This window comes from Homo sapiens, chromosome 4 (assembly GCF_000001405.40).
Source record: "Homo sapiens chromosome 4, GRCh38.p14 Primary Assembly".
Classification (NCBI taxonomy): Eukaryota; Metazoa; Chordata; class Mammalia; order Primates; family Hominidae; genus Homo; species Homo sapiens.
Window position 1 is genome coordinate 7,058,322 of NC_000004.12, and position 25,591 is coordinate 7,083,912.

The 25,591-nt window shown below is 49.0% G+C and overlaps 1 protein-coding gene and 2 long non-coding RNA genes across 3 annotated transcripts in view, besides 6 other annotated features; 2 read left to right on the forward strand and 1 right to left on the reverse strand.

The window, feature by feature from the left end:
• Nucleotides 1-573: 573 nt before the first annotated feature.
• GRPEL1 (GrpE like 1, mitochondrial) lies at nucleotides 574-9,743 on the reverse strand. Its single transcript, NM_025196.4, has 4 exons — nucleotides 9,650-9,743; nucleotides 5,740-5,902; nucleotides 4,064-4,145; nucleotides 574-2,887 (listed from the first exon to the last, which is right to left on the reverse strand). The coding sequence occupies exons 1-4, from the start codon at nucleotides 9,709-9,711 to the stop codon at nucleotides 2,541-2,543; spliced, it is 654 nt and encodes a 217-aa protein (NP_079472.1). The 5' UTR covers nucleotides 9,712-9,743; the 3' UTR covers nucleotides 574-2,540.
• Nucleotides 6,562-8,305, forward strand: LOC105374368 (uncharacterized). The gene is made up of 2 exons (XR_925102.3): nucleotides 6,562-6,866; nucleotides 7,859-8,305. It is a non-coding gene; the product is annotated as an uncharacterized LOC105374368 (long non-coding RNA).
• Nucleotides 6,968-7,069: a silencer, noted in NCBI's record as "fragment chr4:7067016-7067117 (GRCh37/hg19 assembly coordinates)". NCBI's record gives its function as "represses an EF-1alpha promoter that drives an FKBP-Casp9 reporter gene in an ReSE screen in phorbol 12-myristate 13-acetate-treated (for megakaryocytic differentiation) K562 erythroleukemia cells {active_cell/tissue: K562(+PMA)}" and the evidence as "EXISTENCE:reporter gene assay evidence [ECO:0000049][PMID:32094911]".
• Nucleotides 9,389-9,618: a silencer, noted in NCBI's record as "silent region_15246". NCBI's record gives its function as "represses an Ori minimal core promoter by ATAC-STARR-seq in GM12878 lymphoblastoid cells {active_cell/tissue: GM12878}" and the evidence as "EXISTENCE:reporter gene assay evidence [ECO:0000049][PMID:35858748]".
• Nucleotides 9,939-10,068: a silencer, noted in NCBI's record as "silent region_15247". NCBI's record gives its function as "represses an Ori minimal core promoter by ATAC-STARR-seq in GM12878 lymphoblastoid cells {active_cell/tissue: GM12878}" and the evidence as "EXISTENCE:reporter gene assay evidence [ECO:0000049][PMID:35858748]".
• Nucleotides 10,079-10,128: a silencer, noted in NCBI's record as "silent region_15248". NCBI's record gives its function as "represses an Ori minimal core promoter by ATAC-STARR-seq in GM12878 lymphoblastoid cells {active_cell/tissue: GM12878}" and the evidence as "EXISTENCE:reporter gene assay evidence [ECO:0000049][PMID:35858748]".
• Nucleotides 10,169-10,258: a silencer, noted in NCBI's record as "silent region_15249". NCBI's record gives its function as "represses an Ori minimal core promoter by ATAC-STARR-seq in GM12878 lymphoblastoid cells {active_cell/tissue: GM12878}" and the evidence as "EXISTENCE:reporter gene assay evidence [ECO:0000049][PMID:35858748]".
• Nucleotides 12,227-25,591, forward strand: part of LOC105374370 (uncharacterized) — a 28,511-nt gene continuing 15,146 nt past the window's right edge. The window contains exons 1-2 of the long non-coding RNA XR_925103.3: nucleotides 12,227-13,702; nucleotides 13,936-14,091. This is a non-coding gene — a long non-coding RNA (uncharacterized LOC105374370). The remainder of the gene's footprint in view (nucleotides 13,703-13,935; nucleotides 14,092-25,591) is intronic.
• Nucleotides 12,334-12,403: an enhancer, noted in NCBI's record as "active region_21274". NCBI's record gives its function as "activates an Ori minimal core promoter by ATAC-STARR-seq in GM12878 lymphoblastoid cells {active_cell/tissue: GM12878}" and the evidence as "EXISTENCE:reporter gene assay evidence [ECO:0000049][PMID:35858748]".

Sequence of the window (25,591 nt, forward strand, 5' to 3'; positions counted from 1 at the left end):
GGTTTCACCATGTTGGCCAGGCTGGTTTTGAACTCCTGACCTCAGGTGATTCACCTGCCTCAGCCTCCCAAAGTGCTGGGATTACAGGCGTGAGCCACTGCACCCGACCTAAAGTTGCTTTCTCTTAAGCAGAGACCCTTTCGTGCCAGGTGCTCTCCTCCCTCAAAGCAGCAGTACAGCCAGAGAAAGCCAAATGGGTCTGAGTCTTTCAGGAAGCCAGGCCGACTTTTCAGATGCCTCTGAGACTTCCAGTTCTGGTTTTCACTGTTCACACGTGACACTTCACTCATGCTGCAGTTATGCTAAATCCAGTAACTACTAGAAGGTAGCTAAACAAATCTTTAATTCCTACTGTAAATATGCACATAATTAAAAGACATTTTCCTATTACAGGTTGAGTATCCCCAAATCTGAAAGGCTGCAAAATCTGAAACTTTCTGAGTGCCTACATGGTGCTCAAAGGAGATGCTCATTTAGAGCATTTTGGATTTTGGGATTGGGGATACTTAACCAGCAAATACAATGCAAATAGTCAAGCAGAGAATCTCTTTTCAGTCAATGAGGGGCCACATATTAGAACACAGTTTGCACTGTACCTTTACTATGTTATGTTCAGATACACAGATACCATTGTGTTAACAGTTGCCTACAGTATCAGTACAGTAACGTGCCCTCCAGTCTAGAGCAACAGGCTACATACACCATATAGCCTAGGTGTGGAGGAGGCTCCACCACCTGTTTTTTAGGTCCATGTAGGTACACATGGTGTTCACAGGAAAAACTGCCTGACAGCGCATTTCTCAGAACACATCCCTGTGGTTAAGCCATGCTTGACTATATTCCAAAATCCGAAAACCCCCCAAGTTTGAAACAATTCTGGTTCTAAGCATTTCAGATGATAACCAACTTATAGTGACTATGGATGACTGAAGCTTACTGTAAAAAAATATTTTGCTACTTAAGCTATATTGCCTCTAGGTTACGAGTTAAGTGCTTTTTAGCAACTGCAGCTGTAGTTGAGACGGTAGGAGACTGCAAACATTCACAGAAATGAGTTGATAAATTACTTTTCTTAGCCTCCATTTAACTCGGGAGCTCCAGGGGTGATGATGCACTCACAACCCCACAGCGTGAAAACAGGCAGCGCTGGAGCTCCCAGTCATGTTTTCTTCAATACACGATGCTGCCTTTAGTTGTTTCTGACCAAATTAACTTAAGGCATCTTAAAGGTGGAACATGTTTGGGAATGGTATCCCAAGATGAAGTATTATGGGACCATTACTTGCGTCTTTTAAAATTAGAAGTGAAATAAACTGCCCCATCTTTCCTGTGCAGCAAATGGCTTTCACAAGTATCTTCCATTCTAGAAGCAAAGGCAGCGAAAGGTTCTTTTCTCTTTTTTGTAACAGACGCCAATCATTCAGCCTTTTTCTAAGCCCTGGATGACCGTGTAAATGAGGAACAGCCCTTTGGCAAGATGATTTTGCAAATCCTGTGCCCTTGCTGTGGCTCCTGGGTGTTTCGTATTCTTACCGGACGGGCTGCAGCTGCACTGGGGGAGTGTGGCTCTCCCTTTCTGTGTAGAAGCCTGTATATGTGTGTACGTGAATGTGCACGCACGCACGTGTCAAGCTGACAGCTTCTGGGCTGGAGTAGAGAATGGGAAGGCTAAGCCATGCTTGCCTCAGCGGCAAGGATCTCCATGAGAGGACACAAAATTGTTTTCAGAAAGTAGGAAAATAAACATTAGGGCTTTAATCCTCTTAAATAAAAATTTTAAATTAAACATTAACATTTAAAGTACACCAAGCGTGCAGTCCTATTTTGAGAAAGTCCATTTTGCCAGGGAATACAACTTGAGGTCATTAGTAACTAGTTGAATATGATTTAAATATGTCTGCATTTAGATGAACAGAACAGGGTAAAAGGAACTTTGCCAAGCCAAGCTCAATTCCTGGCCAAATAATGGGGGAGAACTGTCAGTGCCCACACCCATTTCTCAGTGGTCAGTTTCAGCCGCTGTTGACTGAAGACAAACGAACTCACTATGTTCTTCACAAAGATCATTTTTTTTAAGTAAGAAAAATGTTTCAACTCTCTTGCCTTTCCTTCAGCGAATGAAATGTGACGGGCTAAATACGCCAGTCACTCATGCGCCGCAGGGACACATGGTGCAGACTGGCGTGCCCAGGTAGCCAAACAGAATTCCCCAAGACCTTTTATTTGTTTAAAATACTTTGGTGTCAGCAGAGTCTGAGCAGACACGTTACTCATGATGCTCGGGAGACCAGGCAGGGCCCTGCTGAGCTCTTCTGAAAGTATGTGGAACTATTCAACGCGTGGCACTAAAAGGGAACAGACTCCCGAATTAGAGTTCATTAATGCAGTTGGGCAACCGGCTTTTCTGTTTAGCCACTGGTTACTTAAGGTTTCCAATAAGGTTTGGGAAAAGGTCACACGTACTCATAGATGAGAAACAATGAACCAGCCTTGAGAGTTACATCAAGTGAGTTTAAAAACACCCACCCCATCAACAGCAGCTAAGCTTCCTTCACCACCCCCACCAGGGCGGGTCTCAGAGTGCGCCCATGCAGCTTGTACCCCACTTTGCTAACTAGGGCCACTGTGCCTGGCTCCTTCCCCTCAACCGGTGTGTGGAACAAGGCCTCATGTTCATAAGGGTCGAACTTGGCTCCGACAGGGTTCAACTTGAGCAAGCCATGCTTTGTGAACACCTTCTGGATCTGGACTTCAGTCATGACCAGCCCCTCATAGAGGTTCTTCAGGTGAGGGTTATCGTCTTTAATTTCTTCTTTTGGAACACACTGTGTTGCCTTCTCCAGAACGTCTGCCACCTCCAACAAGTCCTTGCAGAAGGCTTGAATGCCTGGATGAAGTTAAAGAAGATCATTTGCACTCCATACCAACCGCACAGGGCAATTCCAAACTGAGCACTGCTGACCTGATGTGGAGGCTATTTAGTAACTTGTCAAATCAATCGCCTCAGAATTCCAATGGCTCAATAACTTTAAAAAACAACACAAAACTCTCAAAAGCTACTTGTGGGATGAGACCCAGAATTTACTAAATTTAGAATTCACTAAAATGTGAAGAAAGGAGTGCAGTAGAGGGGAAAATACCCTTGAGACATCCAAGCCCAGATGTCAAGCAAGCAGTAAGATTTAGGGGACTGGAACTCGGAAGATCCGAGTTTGAAGCTGAGACTTGTGTGTGGATGCCACTAAGCCCGTAAGAGTATGTAAGTCACCCAGGGAGCACAGCAAGGGGAGAGAAGAGGTCTGGTACTGAGTCCCAAGAGCCCAGGCATTTACAGGTCGGAAAGGGTAAGAACCAACAAAGCACATTACCACAAAGAGAGGCGGAATACCAAGAAACAGGCCACAGTATCCAGGAAAAAAAGTGTTTCAATGAGCGCCTCAGTCTCTGTGAATGCGACAGAGACTCTAGCTCTTAGTTTCCATGTGGCCTCTCACCGTCTGACCCAGGCAAGGCCATTTACCCTCCCTCGAGCCTTAGGTTCCACATCTCTAATACCCACTGTCAGTCACGCAGAGATCCAGAGCCAGCACTCAAACAACCAGCCTGTGGAGCTGGGAGCCTGGGGTTACGTACCAGCTTTGTGATGTGTGGCAGGTGACTAAACCTCAATGATCTCAACTGTAAAATGGGAAGGACAGTAACAAAAACATCCAAAGGTGGCAATGCATATAGCATGCTGGGAGTTCTGAAGTGATGCCAGTGTTACTTCCGGAGGGCTAAGGGGATGGGCATCAGAGGCTGACCTGCTGCAGGTTCCCACCAAGGTCTCTGCGTGGGGGAGGACACACCTATTTACAATTCTTCATGCTAGTCTCAGCTACTTGATTTCTGCTCCTCCAGACACCTTTGCTGTTGAGCCATCATAAAAAAAAATGCAGGGGATGCAACAGCTGGACCCCCCACCCCACAGCCTTGCTCTCTGACACTTCCGTATGCATGGCCTTCCCCTTCCCCACCCCATTATCTTCTTTCCGGAATCAACACCATGTTATGTTGAAAGTACCGTATAATTTTGCCTCCTCCACCAATTTCTGGCTCCTCTGCCGTAAGTTCTCAGTGTCTGCCAAAGCTCGTTTATATTTTTCCTAAAAGAGAAAAAAAGGGATATTTATATATATATATATATATATATATCTTTTTTTTTGAGACGGAATCTTGCTCTGTATGTCGCTCAGGCTGGAGTGCAGTGGCATGATCTCAGCTCACTGCAAGCTCCGCCTCCTGGGTTCACGCCATTCTCCTGCCTCAGCCTCCCGAGTAGCTGGGACTACAGGCGCCTGCCACCACGCCCAGCTAATTTTTTTGTATTTTTAGTAGAGATAGGGTTTCACCGTGTTAGCCAGGATGGTCTCCATCTCCTGACCTTGTGATCCGACCGCCTCGGCCTCCCAAAGTGCTGGGATTACAGGTGTGGGCCACCATGCCTGGCCGGGAGATTTATATTAATATGGAACAAAGTCATAGGAAAGCGAGCTTGATTGGAAAACGGCTGTGTAACTAACTACAAGTCAAAACAGAAGTAATATCACTGCCTTTGAGATGTGACTAAGGAGGGCAGCTTAATGAAAGCTTAATAAAAGCTGCACTCATGATCTTTTGCTATGCTGTGTTACCCAGAGGTGGCTCAGTTCAAACATTCCTTGTGTAATCATCATCTGAGTTCTAGTATATTCCTCATGTCTCACCACCTTCCGGTAAGCTCACTCATCTGAGCCTTTTTTTTTTTTTTCTGAGACAGGGTCTTGCTCTATCATCCAGGTTGAAGTGGTGTAATCTCGGCTCACTGCAGCCTCAACCTCCTGGGCTCAAGCAATTCTCCCACCTCAGCCTCCTGGGTTGCTGGGACTACAGGAGTGCACCACCACGCCCAGCTAATTTTTAATTTTTTTTAGAGATGGAGTCTCACTATGTTGCCCAGGCTGGTCTTGAACACCTGGGCTCAAGCAATCCTCTTGCCTCAACCTTCCAAAGTGCTATCAGAGGGGTAAGCCACTGCGCCCAGCTAGCTTTTCTCTTTTTAACATTTACTAAGTTGCTCTGTGGGGGCCTCTATACTGCATCCATTTTCAGTCTTCAGGTAATCACTGTACAGTGGCAAGGAGCAAGAGCTCCAAGTCCAGGGGGTTCTAGTTCGAGCCCTGGCTCCGCACCTGGCAGCCAGGATTAACATATGTAACGGGTTTGGAATGGTGCCAGCACTCAGGGTTTGATGTCTTTCTCAAATCCTTAAAGAACTTGATTTGTGCCACCTATGTGTTTTCACATGGAGTAATAATCCATGTTACTAGTTCATAAAACTCCTACCTGCCTATGAGAGCATCACATAAAACCACACTCCTGCTCCCAACTCTTGTACTTGCAATTTTCTGCTTCCTCTCCTAAGTCCCAGCCTAAACAACCATACTGAGCATTCCTCATTTGTAAAGATGATTTTAAGTTTTCATTCAATGACAAATAACAGCGTGTAAAGATTAGTCTCTTGCCAGAACCAGAGTTGCACAGGATTTGGGTTTTAGTCTTTGCTTTGGCAGTAACTTGCCACCTGGGCCCACTGCAGGCCATGGACAACGGCTTAACTCTGGCTTTAGTCTGTCACCAATGAAACCTGGAACCTTTATGTGGCCCAGGAGAGAAACAGTTCAGCCGAGCCCGCCCCCACAGGAGCCTCACAGTCCTCACCACAGTCTCCTTCAGCTGTTCCTCCAACTTGACCTTCTCTTCCAGGAGGGTCTTCTCTGTAGCAGGAGGATCTGCCTTCTGTTCACTCTGACCCATGTCCTCTTCCAGGTTCTGGCCACTGTTCTTTTGTTTCGTGGCTGTGCACAACAACCGGGGAGATGGCCTACAGGGAAGTCCACACGTGAGAAACGAAGACTTAGTTTTTGTGCTTATTAAAGTCAGATGTATGACTTTAGAAACTTAAAATAGCTTCAAACTATTTACTATTACTTGGGGAGAAAACATTTCTGTTAGATCTAATAAAGGCACACTGTACGTGACATATAGAAGCTATATTAGTAAATATAAAAGCTGTAAGTCATATACAATGTGCCTTTATTAGATCTAAGATAAACATATATATATTTTTTTAGAGACAGGATTGGTCTCTCTCTATATATCTATCTATCTATACATCTATCTATATCTATATGTATTTCTTTTTTTTTGAGAGAGAGAGTCTTGCTCTGTCACCCAAACTGAAGTGCAGTGCAACCTCCGTCTCGTGGGTTCAAGGGATACTCCCACCTCAACCTCCCCAGTTGCTCGTCACCACACCCGGCTAATTTTTGTATTTTTAGTAGCGATGGGGTTTCACTATGTTGGCCAGGCTAGTCTTGATATCCTGACCTTAAGTGATCTGCCCGCGTTGGCCTCCCAAAGTGCTAGGATTACAGGCGTGAGCCACCGCGCCTGGCCTCTCCATGTATTTTTAGAGACAGGGTTTCGCTGTCACCCAAGCTACAGTATGGTGGCACAATCATAACTCACTGTAACCCCGAACTCCTGGGCTCAAGTGTTCCTCCCACCTCAGCCTCCCAGAGTGCTGGGATTACAGGCATGAGCCACTGTGCCTGTCTTTTTTATAAGATCTTCTGTAAGTACATGCCTAAACTTACATGTCAATGTGCCAAGTTACAGTACTTGGTACAGAACAGTACTAACCTCCTCTTTCCATTCTAAGGTGACTGAGACAGTCTGCCCAGACCTAACCACGTACTTATGGAATAGCTACTACTAGAGTGAGGCTGGCCTACTGCTGATCCTGATGACAAAGATAGACCCAGCAGAGATCTTGCAAAAAAAAGGTATCTAAACACAAAGAACAGTAATTTGTGATTTAAAAGTGATTAAGACAGGTTCGCTGGCTCACGCCAGTAATCCCAGCACTTAGGGAGGCCAAAGCAGGTGGATCACTTGAGATCAGGAGTTCGGGACCAGCCTGACCAACATGGAGAAACCCCGTCTCTTCTAAAAATACAAAATTAGCCTGGCGTGGTGGTGCATGCCTGTAATCCCAGCTACTTGGGAGGCTGAGGCAGGAAAATCGCTTGAATCAGGGAGGCGCAGGTTGAGGTGAGCTGAGATCGCGCCACTGCACTCCAGCCTGGGCGACAAGAGGGAAACTCTGTCTCAAAAAAAAAAAAAAGTGATTAAAAAAAAAAAGGGAACTAAGTGCTTTGTGCTTTGGGAGGCTCAGAGTAGAAGGAGATACCTAGCTTGGGGAATGGAAAACCATGAAAGGCTTTGTAGGATAGGTAAGAGTTACGAAAAAGGGATCAGAGGTGGGACAATGGGATAGATGCAGCTTCAGGAAGATGAAACTGCTTGGACAAAGGCATGAAGACAGGAAAGCATGGGATATGTACCGGTGAAATAGACCAAGACCAAGTGATAAGCCCAGGTCACAAAGCCATCAACGAATGATAAAATAAAGTCTTAAAACCTAGATTTCTTCACCAGGACCAGAGGACCTCTTTTTTTTTTTTTTTGAGACGGAGTCTTGCTCTGTCACCCAGGCTGGAGTGCAGTGGTGCCATCTCGGCTCACTGCAAGCTCCGCCGCCCGGGTTCACGCCATTCTCCTGCCTCAGCCTGCCGAGTAGCTGGGACTATAGGCGTCCACCAACACGCTCGGCTAATTTTTTTGTATTTTTTTAGTAGAGACGGGGTTTCACTGTGTTAGCCAGGATGGTCTAGGATCTCCTGACCTCGTGATCCGCCCGCACCCGGCCAGGACCTCTTTTTAAATTAGGCCACAGTCCTATCTGAGAATAAGCTACATTCAATTTTCTTCCCAGATTAAAACTGCTTCAACGAATAGGAAGGTGAAGGCTGCCAGCACACAGAACTCAGTCAAGGCTGTTTATTGCAGCACTGCGAGCGACAAGTTGGAAACAATGTTTGTCAGCGAGCAAATGGTTGAATAAACTTGCTAACACAATCTGGAATATTATGCAGCTCCTAAAAATGAGTTAAACTGCCATTTATTGGATACACTTTGGATGTTCTGTTAAGAAATGCAACTTACAGAGAAATACACAAAACAGGATCCTATTTTTGTAAAGACAAACTAGAAATCCTGTGTACTTATTAATATCTTAGATCTGTGGAAAGAAGTGGAGTGGAAGCCTCCATTACAGTCTTGCCATGGGGGTGGAGAGCGATGACCATTTTATATTTTTACTCTTGTGAATTTAAAAAGCTAAGAATTTAAATAAAAACTGAGTGTACTGTTGTGAAGCCCACCTTCCTCTCCAGTTGTTCTGCCTGGGGGTGTGACAGCCACCAGCCTTTCTGCAGGTCAGCTCTTCACAGACCCCTTTCCGAAGCACAGCCAACACAAAGTGTGGCCAGGAATGTGCAACAGGACCCACACCCGGGGCCATCTCGTTCTGCAGAGGGAAACTGAGTCTCAGAAAGCCTAGTTACTCTGAGAGCTATGACTACCAGTCAGTTCTCCTGCCTTTCCCTAGTTGAGCATCTTTCCACAAAACTACCATTCTAGAGACAGAAATGATGCTGACTTGGTGGTCACTTTCCTGGCAATTAATTCCAATACAAAACCACCAATTACTTGACCAAAGTCTTTTTACTCAAGTATTCCACGTGGGTCGTTGCTCTTGGCTCCTGTGTTGTTAAGATATAATTTATTAAGCTAGCACTTACCCCTTAATCACCTAGACTGAAAGTGATCTTCACCTCACCTGCCTGCTCTCCTTCAGGAAAGAACTACATCTCACTGCCCAGCTTTTGGCCAATTTGGCCCTCAGTGGCTTCTCTAATCAATAACTTGGTTCTAGGCACTTCCTCCAGCAAGTACTTGCCATACTAACTTCTAAAGTAGAACTTTCAAAAAGCAGAAGGGGCAGATTTGAGGGGAAAAAAAAAAAGGGGCACTGTCTCGTGGCCCTCAGGCCCGAAATGTGCCCTTGTCTAAACAAACTCTTCGCCCAGCAGCAGCACAGGTTCGACTGCTCTTTTGACCTCAGACGCTGGAGAAGGCGGAGTGAAGGAATTCGAGGTCGAGTGGAAAAAGCCCGTGAACGGGCAACACGCACCTTGCGACACGAAGTTTCCCGAGCACCGCTGTGGCCCCGGCCTCGAGCTGCGGCACGGAAATGAGTAACCACAGCTCCTGCCCAGGGCACACCCGGCCCGGCTCGGCCTCGCTGCGTGACCTTGGACAAAGCTCGAGCTTCTTTGGTCGCTTCTTCAACCGCACAAGTTGCGGCTGCCTCTGCGCCCGTGAGCGCCGAGACCGTGAATGCGCGCGAGGCGTCGCCGCAGGCCCTGGACCACACGCGCACGTGGGCCACCGTACCTTCCGAGCCAAACGCCCCCCGCGCTGCGGTCCTCTCCTCCTGACACGGCGCCCGCCCGCTCCACGCTTCCCAAGCCCTGAGCTGGCAGCCTGGCAGCAGAGCAGGCCCCAGCGGGGCGGTCCGCGTCCCGCGGCGGGGAACCGCGAGCCCGGAGATGCCCAGCTCCGGGGCCGAGGCCGGGAAGGAGGCCCCGGGGCCGGGAAAGGCCCCCATCGGAGCGGGAGGTCGCGCTGCCACCTCCACCCAGGGAGACCAAGTGCCCCTTACCTGAGAGACAACGCCAAAGCAGGAAGACTGCGCCGCGCCAACCTCACGCACTGAGCCGCCATGACTGCCACTGCCCGTCGCAGTCGCCGCGCACGCACCAAGCGTGCGTGCAGGCAGCTATACCCACTTTTCTGCCCTACTACTTCGCCTCAGCCAATCCGTAATCGCTTTTCCTGTTATGGACAGGCAATAGTCACCAATAATTGTGGGTCACGGAAGAGCATCTTTCCCCACCCCCCGGTGGGCGGGGCCTGAGGCGTACCGGAGGCCCTGAAGAGGTGAAAGGTGAAGTGAGCATTGGGAGGAGCCTCCTGTGGGCGTGGCGATGCCGGGAGGAGCCAATGAGGAGGCAGCGTGAGGGGGCGGGGCCAGCGCCGGGGTGGGGCGCGCGCGTCGCGGGCCGGGAGGGACTTCAGAGCCTGGTTTTGGGTAGGAGTGAGGCGGCAGCTTGTCGTTTCCCGGCCCGCACCCGCCCTTGCGCTGACACCGCGGGCCTTCCTTTGCTCTGGGAACGAGCGTGGGGAGCCCTGTTCACCCTCACACCCCGGCTCCAGAGCGGCGCGGAGCACTCCATGTTTGCTAAATGAAAATGAAGTCTCGGCGCGAGCGCCACCCAAACGGCGGCGTAGTTGCTTGAGAACCGCGGAGGCAACCGCTTGGGAGGGCGCCCCGACCCCGAAGCTGCTTCTCCAGGCGCCCGAGGCGGAGAGAAGGCACTGGGGTCTCCGTCTCCACCAGTGATTTCTGGTGAAACAGGAAACAAAACCCGGGAAACAAATGGGACGAAATGTTGGCGGTTTTGATGCTGGATGATGGGAATATGGGCGTGTGTTTTGTACCTTTCTGTTATCTTCAGTTTTCTCAAAACACGAAAAACAGACTAAGAACAGCGCATAGAAAACATTGGGGCACAACTAAAGCTCATAAATGCACACGTTTTCATAACCTGACCGAGGTCCATGCTGCTGTAGCGCATACCCCCAAGAACAGAGGGCCGCGTGTTCTTATGGCCCCGGTGCCGGCCCCCAAGCGGGGTTCCCGCAGGAGATAGGGCCTGGCTCCCGCTTCAGCACCGCGTGGCCTGGAGTGCAGTTCTGGCGGCCAAGATCTGAGGGCTGTAGCCCGTGCCCTCACCAGGATCCCAGACTTAGAGTCCCTGCCCTCCCCGGGATCCCAGGGCTCGATCCTGTGCCCTCCCCGGGATCCCAGGGCTGGAGCCCATGCCCTCCCCAGGATCCCAGGGCGCGAGCTGGTGGCTTCTCAAGCGGAGTTTTGCCTGCTTGTTACATTAGTGAATGTAGGACCACTTGAGTAAAGGACCAAACCTTTATTCTTTTGCTTTTCTGCCATTGAAACCATTCAACCCATGCTGATTAATACCTACTGTTTGCCAGGTAATATGCCCCTTGCAGAAAGACGCAAACAGCTAAACCCCAAATGGGATGTTGTACAGGACAAATGACCGTGTCAATTAATACCAATAATTAAGATAATAGTATAATTATGATGATAATATAATTAATTCGAGCCTGGAGGAAACAAAAGAAAGTGGAACTGAACTATTAGAGAATAAATGAGCTTAAAAGACGTCATTGAATGGAATGTGTGGAACTTACTTGGATCATGATAGAATAAACTAGCTTAAACGGGGCATTTGAGAGATAGGTGGGGGAAATTGGAATATAAAGCTGGGTATTAGATGAAAACTGGGAGTATCGATACTTTTGGTAGGGAGCAGTAACGGCTGGTGGGTAAAATGTCCTAACCTTTAGAGATGCAAACGGAAGTATTTACAGCAAATTGCCCCTATGTCTGGTATTCGCTTTGTAAATTCTCCATGAAAAAAAATTCAAGGACAGGTGAAACACAAGTGGCAAATGTTAGTAACGGTTGAAGCTGGGTGATGAATGCCATAGGAGTTATGACGATTTTCTTTTGCATATGTTTGTAGTTTTCTGCGATAAAATTTATTTTATTTTATATATATATTTTGAGACAGAGTCTCATTCTGTTGCCCAGGCTGGAGTGCAGTGGCGCGATCTCAGCTCACTGCAAACTCTGCCTCCCGGTTCAAGCGATTCTCATGCCTCAGCCTCCCTAGTAGCTGGTATTAGAGGTGTGTGCCACCATGCTTGGCTAATTTTTCGTCTTTTTAGTAGAGACGGGGTTTCACCATGTTACCCAGGCTGGTCTCGAACTGCTGAGTTCAAGCAGTCCGGCCTCCTCAGCCTCCCAAAGTGCTAGGATTAGAGGCGTGAGCCACCACACCCAGCCTTTCTGCAATAAAATTTAAAAGTGTCTCGGCCGGGCACAGTGGCTCATGCCTGTAATCCCAGCACTTTGGGAGGCCGAGGCGGGTCGATCATCTGAGGTCAGGAATTCGAGACCAGCCTGGCCAACATGGTGAAAACCCGTCTGTACTAAAAAAATACAAAAAAAGAAAAAAATTACCTGGGCATGGTGGCGGGCACCTGTAATCCCAGCTACTCGGGAGGCTGAGGCAGGAGAATCGCTTGAACCCGGGAGGCAGAGGTTGCAGTGAGCCGAGATGGTACCACTGCACTCCAGCCTGGGCAATAGGGCAAGACTCCGTCTCAAAAAACAAACAAAAACAAAACAAAACAAAACAAAACAGTATCTCATGTTTCTTATTGGCTGTGACCAAGTAACTTCATTGCTTTCAACCTTGGATCTGCTCACCTGTAGAACTGAGACATTATTTGTTGTGAGATTTAAAAAAGAAACATGTTCATTTCCTTCCTTTGGGGCTCGGAAGGAATCAGATGGGCGTCTTGCAGCTCCGATCCTGATGAAGAATTGTAGCTGCTGTGCCTCAAGACAGATAAGCACAGGTCGTCCCAGAGGGGATGCCACCTTGGGGACTGTGAACCTCCGCTGAGGCCAGGCCATGCCCTGCCCTGTGTCTGTATCTGGAACTGCGGGATTTCTCTGATCTGCCAGGGAAAGGCCTGCCACCTCGTGGCCACTTCAGGAACTGCTCCAAAGGCAGTCTGCTCTTGGGAACCTACCTGGTCAGGTAGCTCCTTGAGGTCTGGAACTGCACCACAGTGCAAGTTATCTTCACGTGGAGGTGAAGCTGCCTGTATGGAAGACTCTTGGATCAGTCGTCTGAGCACATGTCCAGCAATGGGCATGGGTGGGCTAGCCAGGGACTGGGGGTGCCGGAAGAGCCGACTGTACAGCACGTGGTGCCCCTAACAAGGATTGAGTGGTGTTTTTAAAAAGAAAAAAAGGTCGTGCAGATGGTCTGACAGTCTGTCGACCGTGGGCGCGGTGCTCATAGCAGCTGAGCACTGCCGGGGTACCAGGCTGTGTGCTGGGTGCTTCAAAGATGTCCTCTTGTGGATCAGCCCATCTGTGGCGAGGAGGGGACCGGGCTCAGCCAGGTTAGGTGACTTGCACAAGGTCATGTGGGTGAAAGGAAGGCAGAACTCTTGTGTATTTCTCCTGACCCCAGATTCTGCGTCAAGGCTGAAGCCAGAACCCACACGTGTCCAGCGCAGGGTGATTGCTGCCATGAGCTGCATTGCTGTGATCCTCTGGCGAGGGCGTGGATTTTCATCCTTTTATTCAATTTTGAAAGAAGCAAATTTAGAAAGATACGATATGATGGGTGTGGCAGACAGAATTCTAAAGGTGGGCCCACTGATTCGTACCCCTGGCTGTTCAGTTAAACACTAGCCTAGGTGCTGCTGTGCAGGGACTTTGACGAAGGAATGAAAGTCCCAAGCCATCTGACCTTGAGATCAGAGATTATCTGGTGGGCTTGACCTCATGAGCCTAATGAAAGCAGGGAGCTTTTCCAGCTGTCAGCAGAAAAGAAGGTCAAATTCAATGTGTGAGAAAGGCTGGAATTAACATTGCTGGTTTGAAGGAGGAAGGGGTTGTGTGAGAAGGTGTGTGAGTGACTTATAGGAGCAGAGAGTGGCCCCCAGCCATGGAATGAGGACCCCAGGTCTGCAGGCACCAGGAGCTGGACTTTCAGGGCCACCTGAATGCACCCAGAAGCGGATTCTCCTCCAGAGCCTCCAGGTAAGAGTTCATTCCAGCCACCACCTTGATTTAGACCTTGTAAGACCTGGAGTGCAGAACCCAGTTTAATTCACTTCAGCCATATAATAACCCTGTGGGGCAGGCATTACTTTTTTTCTCCCCATTTTATCTTTATTTTGGACTTTGGTAGTCAAGTTTATTTATCATAAACCTTTGGTTCCCATTCTCACCCTTGTGCCTGCCTTATTCTTGGTCTGCTTCTGTTTGTTTAGTTGCTATAATCAACATCCCTGGACCCATCGCGCAGAAGAAACTAAGGTTCCCAGGTTAAGAGACTTGCCTGGAAAAGGGTTAACTGACAGCTTGGCAGCAGAGCCACCGCTCCTTCCCCCTTGCATGCTGGTTCCAAACCGAAAATGATGTTCTGGGTAAGAAAAAACAGCAGCATAAGGGACCACAGACATTCGAGTTGAAATAATTTGAAATAACTTTCTGCAAAAAGAGCCAGACTTCATGAGAGGTGGTTTAATTGGGATAATGAGTTGCACGGGGAATGAGCAAATGCAAAGTTAATTAACAGTCATTTCCCTGAGACTATTTGAAGGAGAGAGATGGCTGCCTGGACCTTGTGGAATCCAGGTGTGATTCAGGTGCCTGCCGTTGGCATGATCATTTCTTCCCTGTTGCAGCCAGGGCAGCTGCAGAGGTGGGTGTGAGGTGGGCCTGGGCTGGCCTGAAGGACAGGGAAGGAAGGAGGAGGCAAACCTCATGGAGCTCGAGGAGATCTTCTTAAAAGCCCATGGATGTGAGAGATAATTGGACTCAAAAGCTGATTAAATTGTTCCTTACAAGCCTGTGATTTGAGCCCTCCTGTGTGTGGGTCAAATCCATCATTAGGCAGCAAAAAAGTCAGAACTGTGAAAAGCACTGTGGGTGAGGATTGGTGAGAGGGAAGGTTTCTCATTATAAAAATAATGGATGCTTGTAGAAATGTTGGCAACGGAATGGTAGGATCATTTAAGAACATTAGCCCTTCTCCACTCTGGTTCCTCTCTCTTGCCCCTGTTTAGGAAATAGTGGGGTGGGGAACTCACTACCTTCCCTTGACGTTGCCCTTGGATTGATCGCAAAGCCACAACTGGAGCCAAAGGTATCATGAGGTGACAGCTCTGACCTTGTGGTCTGCCGGTGGGCAGAGGTGAAGGGAGCCTCTCTGAATTCTGGTCTCTTCGTTGGTACAGCGGGCCAGTACACTCGTGGTGTTGTCGCACTTTTTCCGGATGCTTACCACCGTCAGTGGCGTCGGTCACCACCATTGCGAGTGTTCAGGCAGTGGGTGCTATGGCAGACTTGCAGTGTGTGGCGCTTTCTCAGGAGCTGTGCTTGAGGGTGGAGGGGCTCCCTGGGGCTGAGGCTGGGGCTTACAGGCCTCCTGACCCTGTGCCCCTTTCCTTGCCACTGGAGGCCTGGCGTACCTGCTGCTCCTCTAGTTCCTAAGCCCCTCTGGATAGGGAACCACATCAACAGTAACTTCAGCCAGAGACGTTTATTTCTCCAGTATGCAAAAGTCCAGGGGTCGGCAGTCCATGGCTCCCTGACGTCTCTGTGGCCTCAGGTCATCAGGGACCCAGGCTCCTTCCAGCCTGCAGCTCTGTCCTCCGCAGGGTGTGGCCTGCACCTCACTGTGAGCATGGAGCTCCAGGAACATCCCAGACAGGAGTGGGCAGAAGGGCAGGGATGCAATGCAGCTGTCTCCTTATATCCTATTGGGCAAAATGTGGTCACATGCCACACCTGGCTGCAAAGGATGCTGGGAAATGTAGTTTTTATTCCCAAGGGTCCACTCCCTGCTGACAATTCTGTTCCTGCAGATGAAGGGAGAATGAATGCTTGGGGACACTAGCAACAGCTCCTCCCTAAGCCTCCGTGGCCCTTCTACCCCCACTTTCCTGGGCCCCCTCACTAATGGGATCTCATTGCCTTCCCTCAGTAGCCCATGAGACTGGGGGGGGTCCTGTTCGCTTATCTGACACCCCCGTAGTCTAGGGGGCCCGGTGCTCATTCTTCCCACCTCACTGTCAGTAAACTGAGGTGCAGAAAGGTGACCTGAGCCATCGTCGTCCACAGCCAGTGAGTGCTGGAGCCAGGGTTGGAGCCCAGGTCTTTGCCAGCCCCGCCTGCAGCATCTGCAGTGCAGAGACGCGGCCACGTGGGCACCTCCATGGCTGCTGTAACAGATGAGCACACCGAGGCTCAGAGCAATAAACATTCTATCCGCTCATGGTTCTGCAGGTCAGAGTCTGAAATCAGCCTCGCTGGGCTAATGTCAAGGTGTCGGCAGGGCTGTCTTCTTCTGGAGGCTTCAGGGGAGAATCTGTTTCCTTGCCTTTTGCAATTTCTAGGTGGTGCCTGTCTGCTGTGGCTCATGGCCCCTTCCTCCGTCGCTCCAGTCTCTCTCTCCATCCTCACATGGCCTTCTCCCTGCCCCTCCTGCTCCTTCTCAGTAGGACTTGCCCACAGGATCAGGACGGACTCCGCTTCTCAGAAGCCCTCATGCAATTGCCTTTGCACAGTGCCTTTGCCAGATAGAGTGACATTCACAGGTGCCAGGGATTAGGACGTGGGCATAACCGATGCCATGAGTCAGCCTTGAGGCAGGAAGGGCCAGCTGACCAAACCCTGAAGAGAAGTCCTGCCCCACGCTGCATTCTTGAGAAAGGAATGTCCCACTAAAGATGCTTGGGTGTCAGGGAGGACGGTTTCCACCATGCCCAGGGCCAGGGAAGGCCAGGACGGGTGTGGCCGGGGCCTTTCTTAGACCTGCCCTGCCCCACCTCTCTCCCTTGCCCCTGCAGGGGCAGCTCTTCTGAGCGGAGGCCCAAGTCCTTTCTGCCCCTGGAAGACTCCAGCCTCTCTGGCCCCCAACCATTCCTCTGTCACCCAAGGCTCAGGCAGGGGTGGGATGGGGTGGGAGCCTCCAAGACTCAGCACCATGGTCGACCTTCGTGACTCCCGCCCAAATTCCCCCACTCCTACTGTCCCGAGTGTGGGTTTCATCCCTGTGCCCTGATTCTGGGGGAAATTGAAACCTATTGTTTTGCCCAGCTCTTAAACAACTTAACAGAAAACTTTTTTTTTCTTTTTCTTTTTTTTTTTTGAGATGGAGTCTCACTCTGTTGCCCAGTCTGGAGTGCAGTGGCACGATCTCTGCTCACTGCAGCCTCCGCTTCCTGGGCTCAAGCGATTCTCCTGCCTCAGCCTCCTGAGTAGCTGGGATTACAGGTGCCCACCACCACACCTGGCTAATTTTTGTATGGTTTCGAACTCCTGACCTCAAATGATCTGTCCACCCTGGCCTCCCAAAGTGCTGGGATTACAGGTGTGAGCCACCAAGCCCAGCCCCGTTTGTTTTCTTAAAGCATCTTTGTGTGTCTTGGATTGGCAAAAGTGTATTTGAATGGAGCGAGATGAGAACAGACTTCCTCGTTATCACAGCACCTGCCCCCTGCTATGGCGGTGTGGACCCTGGGCCATGTCTTCCAGGGCCTCGTTTCTGTGCGTCCCCAAGTTGGGGAGTCTTCTGGGCTTGGGGAAGCTTAGATGCTACCTCTGTACTGGAGGATTTTGCGGCCAGGGTGTGTGATGGCCACCTCCCCCCAGGCTGTGCCCACAGCCCAGCCCTTTCTCCACCTGCCACTCCTCTCCACGGTGGAGAGTGTCACTATGGATGATCTCCCCAGCGGCTGGTGTCTGGAGGCCTCCTCAGTGGAGGATCAGCAGCACGGGGCAGAGGTCCGCTCTGTCTTCCACTGTCTCAGCAGCTCCGGCTGCCGAATGGGCAGGCACGTGAGGGCAGGCCTCTGGAGGTCTGCGCAGACGAGATCCAAGCTTCGCCTCTCACCGCCCTGGTTTCCAGTGATAGCTGCGTCCTGGATTTGACTGCTTCCTCTTAGGCAACCTAGAAAACACACCCTCTAAGGGAATTTTCCAAATGAAATTTCCCTTGCAACAGAAGGAAAGCCAGATGCCCTGCAGAGAGGCAAACTGAAAGTTGACCCAGGCCTCCAGGGAGAAGCCCCTCCACCCACCCTGTGACTGACCTTGAGCCCTGTCGCTTATCCGAGAAGCCCACAGCCTGACTGCTCCTGCGCTGTGTGCTCCCCTGCCCCCATGCGCTGCCCCACTGTGCGCTGGCCCCTGTGCACCGTCCCACTGTGTGCTGGCCCCCGTGTGCTGCCCCACTGTGCGCTGGCCCCTGTGCGCTGCCCCACTGTGTGCTGCCTCACTGTGCGCTGCCCCACTGTGCGCTGGCCCCTGCGCACTGCCTCACTGTGTGCTGGCCCCCGTGTGCTGCCCCCATGCGCCGCCCCACCATGCGTGCCTCACTGCGTGCTGGCCCCTGTGCGCTGTGCCACTGTGTGCTGGCCCGTGTGCGCTGCCCCACTGTGCGCTGCATGGTGGGCAACTCTAAACCTCACATCTGCAAGCAGAAGCACCTGGAGTGTGCAGCACACACTCGTGGTCCAAATACTGTTTCTCAAAAGTTGGATTGGAAACCATGACTAATGTTTTAAAGCATTTTTGAGGACAGTTTACTGCTGGTGAGTGGTGGCCATGGTGACGGTGGTGGGAGTGGTGGCGGGGAGGAAGAGAACCCCATTTGCCAGTTCTCCATCACAGTGCCGGTCTGCATTGTGGAGACCTACTGTGTGCCTGGGCCTCTTCCAGGCATCACACGCCCTAGTGCAGTGGGTCTTGCAGCCAGCGTGGTCGTTTTCTGTTGTTGGTCATTGTTTTGCTTGGTTTTGTTAGTGTGTTTTCACTCCCCAGCATGTGCTTGGACTCCCTTCCTCTATGCCCCCTGCCGCTGAGGACTGTGCCTGGGACCCAGGCCTTTTAAGGAAGCCCAGCCTTTGGTGACAGTGATTGATGCCAGGTCTGGGCATGTGACCTGGGCAAGGCCAGTCGGTTCCTTCCCTGGAAAGGCTATGTGGAGGCTGGGAAGAGCAGCTGTCCCTGCCATGGTCCCCTGGGTGGGAAGGGCACCCACCCCAGCCCCTGTATTCTCTGCCCCCTCCCCCACAGAGGGAGCCTCGCTGCTGCTGAAAGGCAGGGGAGACCAGACAAAGGGTCCTGTAGACACACCCTGGAAGTCTCAGTGCTGGTTCCAGTACCAAGCCCTTGGCTCTGCCAGCCTCTGCTCCACTCCTGCAAGGTGCCTCCAGCTCTGCCCCAGCACTGAAAAACCAACTACAGATTGGCTTCATTTGCTTCCCTTGGTTTGGGTTGAGCTTCTGTCACTTACAGCTGATGGCCTTCACCGAAATAAGTCTTAACAGCCACACCTGCGGCAGGCATCGTAACCCCAGTTGACAGACCAGGGTGGGTGGTGGGGTCACGCCCCAAGCTCTTTCCAGTACACACTTTCCTGTCCTTCGTGTCATCAGAGCACGCTGACATCCACAGTGGGCCTCTTTCACTGGGTCCCTGCAAGGGTTTTCTAGATGAGGGGGTGAAGCAGAGCTGTGGCCAGAGGATGCACAGCTGTGGACGGCCGGGCTGGGCTGGCCCCACACCTGGTACCACCGACCACCCAGGCTGCAGGCACCGAGGAGGATCCAGCTTACCTGCATGCAGGAGGGCAGGCGGGCAGATGAATGAGCTGCCAAGCATCAATGGGCAATGACAGAGATCAGGGCAGCCACAAACACCACACTGCCTGTGGGCTGCGGCCCCTGGAATCTCACAATTATCTTGCGTGAGGCGACGGTAGTAACTTCAGCAACAGTGGCGCAAGTGAGAAGAGCAGTCTCTGCAAGTGGAGCTGGGTTTGCTTGCTGGGCCTTGGGCTGAGCCCTCCAGGTTCATGATCTCAGCCCTGCAGCAGCTCTGCAAGGTGGGAGTGAGACTGGGGTGTGAGGTGGGGCTTCATCACCCTCTGCAGACAGGGATGGGTGGAGTGTCAGCCAGGTATGTCACTGAGGTATCAGCGAGGTGAGGGAAGCGGTTAAGGTCCCACCACACAGAGTGGAAAGAGATGGGAAGAAAACGTGTGTCTTGACCTCCTGCCATGGCTGGGCAGGTCTGTTAGAAAGACCAGCCATATTAGAACCAGGGCAGAATCTTCTGCATTATTCAGAAGGACGATTCCAATTGCACAAGTAGTAAATGAATACCTTCTTGTGAAAATCCAAACAGCATAGAGTGAGAGTCCCATTGCCTGCCCTGGTGCTAATGTGTCCTTCCACATGTGCTCCTAGGCGTCCACATGTATGCGTATGCACATATGCACATACACACACGTAGATAGATCACTTTGGTTTTATAAAAATGGCTTCCTACTATTTCAGTGTTCTACAGTTGCCCTCTAAAAAACTTATTTCCATATACATTCTTTTTTTTTTTTTTTTAAGAGACAGGATCTTGCTCTGTTGCCTAGGCTGGAATGCAGTGGCGTGATCTTGGCTTACTGCAGCCTTGACCTCCTGGATTCAAGGGATCCTCCTACAACAGCCTCCTGAGTAACTGGGGCCACAGGTGTGTGCCACCACGCCTGGCTAATTTTAAGTATTTTTTTTATTTTTAAATTTTTAATTTTTTTTAGTTAAAAAAAATTTTTTTTCTTTTTGAAACAGAGTCTCGCTCTGCCACCCAGGCTAGAGTGCAGTGGCATGATCACAGCTCACTGCAACCTCTGCCTTCCGGGTTCAAGTGATTCTGCTGAGTAGCTAGGACTACAGGCATGTGCCATCACACCCAGCTAATTTTTTTTTGTATTTTTAGTAGAGATGGGTTTTCACTATGTTGGCCAGGCTGGTATCGAACTCTGGACCTCAGATGATCCACCCACCTCGGCCTCCCAAAGTGCTAGGATTACAGACCTGAGCCACAGTGCCCGGCCAATTTTTTTTTCTTTTTTTTTTTAGACAGAGTCTTGCTCTGTCGCCCAGGCCGCAGTGCAGTGGCATGATCTTTGCTTACTGCAACCTCCATCTCCCAGGTTCAAGCAATTCTCCTGCCTCAGCCCCTGGGGTAGCTGGGATTACAGGCACGCGCCACCACGCCTGTCTAATTTTTGTATTTTTAGTAGAGATGGGGTGGGGTTTCACCATGTTGGCCAGGCTGGTCTCGAACTCCAGGTATTTAGCGACCTGCACTCCTTGGCCTCCCAAAGTGCTCGATTACAGACATGAGCCACCTCGCCCAGCCATAGTTTTCTTTTTCTTTCTTTCTCTCTCTTTTTTTTTTTTTGGGAAGTTTTTAGTTTCATTTTGTAGTTTTCTTCAAATTGCTTAGCAAGTAATTAGCTGCTGTAGTTTTTTTCTTTAACTTTTACTTTAAGTTCCGGGATATGTGTGCAAGAAGTGCAGGTTTGTTACATATGTAAATGTCTGCCATGGTGGCTGGCTGCATAGATCAACCCATCACCTAAGTATTAAGCCCAGCATCCATTAGCTATTCTTCCTGATGCTGTGCCTTCCTTTGCTCCCCCGTCCCGACAGGCCCCAGTGTGTGTTGTTCCCCTCCCTGTGTCCATGTGTTTTCATCATTCAGCTCCCACTTATAAGTGAGAACATGTGGTGTTTGGTTTTCTGTTTCTTTGTTAGTTTGCTGAGGATAATGGCTTCCAGCTCCATCCATGTTTCTGCAAAGGACATAATATTGTTCCTTTTTATGGCTACATAGTATTCCATGGCATATATGTACCACATTCTCTTTACCCAGTCTATCATTGATGGGCATTTGGATTGATTCCATGTCTTTGCTATTGTGACTAATGCTGCAGTGAACATACATGTGCATGTATCTTTATAATAGAATGATTTATATTCCTTTGGGTATATACCCAGTAATGGAATTGCTGGGTCAAATGGTGTTTCTGGTTCTAGACCTTTGAGGAATCACCACGCTGTCTTCCACAATGGTTGAACTAATCTACATTCCCACCAACAGTGTAAAAGTGTTCCTTCTTCTCTGCAGCCTTGCCAGCATCTGTTGTTTCTTGGCTTTTTAATAATTGCCATTCTGACTGGCGTGAGATGGTATCTCATTGTGGTTTTGATTTGCATTTCTCTAATGATCAGGAATGTTGAGCTTTTTTTTTCATACGTTTGTTGGCTGCATGAATGTTTTCTTTTGAAAAGTGTCTGTTCATGTCCTTTGCCCACTTTTTGATGGGGTTGTTTGTTTTTTTCTTGTAAATTGTTTAAGTTCCTTGTAGACTCTGGATATTAGACCTCTGTCAGATGGATAGATTGTAAAAATTTTCTCCCATTCTGTAGGCTGCCTTTCACTCTGATGATAGTTTCTTTTGTTGTGCAGAAGCTCTTTAATTTAATTAGATCTCATTTGTCATTTTTTGCTTTTGTTGCAATTGCTTTTGGCATTTTCATCATAAAATCTTTGTCCATGCCTATGTCCTGAATGGTATTCCCTAGATATTCTTCTAGGGTTTTTATAGTTTCAGGTTTTATATTTAGGTCTTTAATCCATCTTGAGTTAATTTTTGTATAAGGCATAAGGAAGGGGTCTAGTTTCAATGACTAGCTAGTTGTCCCACCACCATTTATTAAATAGGGAATCCTTTCCTTGTTGCTTATTTTTGTCAGGTTTGTTGAAGGTAAGATGGTTGTAGGTGTGTGGTCTTAGTTCTGACTTCTCTATTCTGTTCCATAGGTCTATGTGTCTGTTTTTGTACCACTACCATGCTGTTTTGGTTACTGTAGCCTTGCAGTATAGTTTGAAGTCAGGTAGCGTGATGCCTCCAGCTTTTTTATTTTTGCTTAGTATTGTCTTGGCTATTTGGGCTCTTTTTTTTGGTTCCATAGGAATTTTAGAATAGCTTTTTCCTAATTCTGTGAAGAATGTCAATGGCAGTTTAATGGGAATAGCATCGAATCTATAAATTATGTTTAGCAGTATGGGCATTTTCATGATATTGATTCTTCCCATCCATGAGCATGGAATGTTTTTCCATTTGTTTGTGTCCTCTCTGATTTCCTTGAGGGGTGGTTTGTAGTTCTCCTTGAAGAGGTCATTCACATCCCTAGTTAGCTGTGTTCCTAGGTATTTTATTCTCTTTGTAGCAATTGTGAATGGAAGTTCATTCATGATTTGGCTCTCTGCTTCCAGTCATAGTTTGTACATTCTTTGAAGAGAAGGGGTCTTGCTCTGTTGCTCAGGCTGATCTTGAACTCCTAGGCTCAAGGGATCCTCCAGCCTTGGCTTTACAAAGTGCTGGGATTACAGGTGTGAGCCACTGTGCCTGGTGAATACATTCTTTAATAGCAAACTGTTAATTTATTTAACCGTTTCCCTACTGATGAACATATTTAGGTTGCTTCCTTTTTTGTCATTAAAACCAAATTTCTTGGTTCTGCTTACTTCTCTCTTTTTTTTCTACCTTGAACAAATCTTATACTCCTTTTTCTCTTTTGGGTGAACTTTAGGGTTGGTTTCTCACTGCCACGAACATCTGTTGGAATTTTGACTGTGATAGGATTAAATGTATAGATTAATGGGGGAGCATTAAGCACCTTTATAATATCAAATCATCTCTTCCAGAAAAATGATATCATTTACTTTTATTCCTGTCTTCTTAAAAGGTTTTTAGAAAAGGTTTTGCTGTGTTCCTGCACATCTTTTTCTTTAGAGTTATCCCAGGTATTATGTGGGTTTTGTGGCTTTGGTGAATGGGATGCTCCATTACGTCTCACACTGGCCATTGCTTGGGTGTTGGAACCCTTTTGGTATTTATATGCTGACTTTATACCTGGTCACCTTCTGTTATATCCAAGGGGTAAAGTGGGCCCTGCATATTGGCCCCATGTTTTCACTTCTTCACAGCAGGCCGGGGCTGTTAGCTCAAAGCAAGCCAGCAGCAAACTCAAATTTTCACACATCCATTTGCATTAAATGTAGCCCAGAGAAGCATATTGTTAGCCACTTAGAGCCTGCCAGCTTTGCACAGTCTGCCCCACTCCACCACACTGCACCCACCATCTGTCAGCCACAGATAAGGGGCTACAGAGAGGTCAAGACTTCAAATGGCTGCTGCCCTTTGGAGGTTTCTGACCCAGAGATTCACCTAGATAGGTAAGCCCTCACAGAGTCCCTTCTCCCGGAGTCCCCTTGCCCTCCCTCCCTTCTGGGTGTGGCCCAGTGCTGTCTCTCTGGAAAGTGTCCCAGCTGTCAAAAAGCAGCCCAAAGGAAGCTCACGGTGTGCCGGCGCCACCTCATGGTCATACCTCTTCCTTAATCAGCCCCGAAACTCCCAGTCTTGCCAGACCTTGCTGAATTCCTTTCTTATTTCAAATTGTGTTCAGTCAACATAACTTTATTTTTCGGGGACTGCACAGTCAGCCGTGGCTTCTCTGCATCTTCTTTTCTATTATTCACATTTCATTTTCTTGTCTCACTGCATTTACCTTGAGTTGGTGTTGAATTTTAGCAGCGATGGTGGCCCTCGTTGCCTTGTTCCTGTCTTTATTTATTTATATTTATATTTATTTATTTATTTATTTATTTATTTATTTATTTATTTATTTATTTTTGAGACGGAGTCTCCTTCTGTTGCCCAGGCTGGAGTGCAGTGGCACGATCTCAGCTCACTGCATCCTCTGCCTCCAAGGTTCAAGCAATTCTCTTGCCTCAGCCTCCCGAGTAGCTGGGATTACAGGCGCCCGCCACCACGCCCAGCTAGTTTTTGTATTTTTAATAGAGACAGGGTTTCACCATGTTGCGAGGCGTGTCTCAAACTCCTGACCTTAGGTGATCCACCCACCTCGGCCTCCCAAAGTGCTGGGATTACAGGTGTGAGCCGCCATGCCCGGCCCCTTGTTCCTGTCTTTAATGAGGTTGACTTGAAACTTTTGGCATTTAGTATGTTGCTTGCAGTAGGCTCCCAGTATTTAAGAGCGCGCTGCTCAAAATATATCCAGTATACCTCATTTTCTGTCATATCCCTATCTACTGCCTTACTCCACACCACCGATACATCTCACTTGGATGAGTACACCAAGCTCTTATCTCTTCCCCTACTTCCACACTTGAACTTTCTCTACCTCCCAATAGATTCTCTACAAAGCAGCTCAAGTTGTCGTACAAAATAATAAATCAGATCCCGGCTCTTTTTTGCCCAAAACCTGCCAGTGGCTTTTGCATCACACTAAGAATAAAACCCCAGCTCCCTTTACCAAAGACTTCAACAGTGTGTGCTGCGGGGTGGGTTCCCCGAGGGTGGCTGCCGAGATGGGGCTTCGGATGCAAGCTGTGACCGCGGATTATCCATTGCGGAGGGAAGGGAAGTGCAGCAGGCTTGGGCAGAGGAAGAGATTCCACGCCTCTGCCAGCCTAGGGGTAGGGTGGAATCTGGAGTGAAGACCCATCAGAACGCCCCCATGTGCCTGAGAGGGCTGGGCTTCCGTCCCCCACCTCCATCAGTCACCGGATGCAGGCGGCTTTGGAAGGGGGATGCTGAGCTTGCAGCTGAGGTGATTATATGGTCCCCGTTATACTTCACATTTTACTATTTTCTCCTGGCTTTAATGTCCTTCTTGCTGAAGTGCAATAGCAATGTCTTCAGTGAGATCTGTGGGGAGTACACTGCTTGGACATCTGAAAATGATGTTCTTTCACCCTTACCCTTGAATGCTAATTTAGCTCCATACACTCTAGATCGGGGTCAGCAAATGTCCCTGGCCAGAGAGTAAATACTTTAGTCTTTTCAGTCCTTATGATCTGTGTTACCACTCCACTGTTCTAGCACCAAAGCAGCTGTGGACAATATATAAATGAATGGCTGTGGCTGTGTGCCAATAAAGCTTTATTTATAAACACAAATGGTGGGCCTGTTTGCCAGTGGGCTGTATTTTGCTGCCCTCCCTGCCCCAGATTTCTATTTTTTTTTTTTTTTTTTTCAGATTTTTT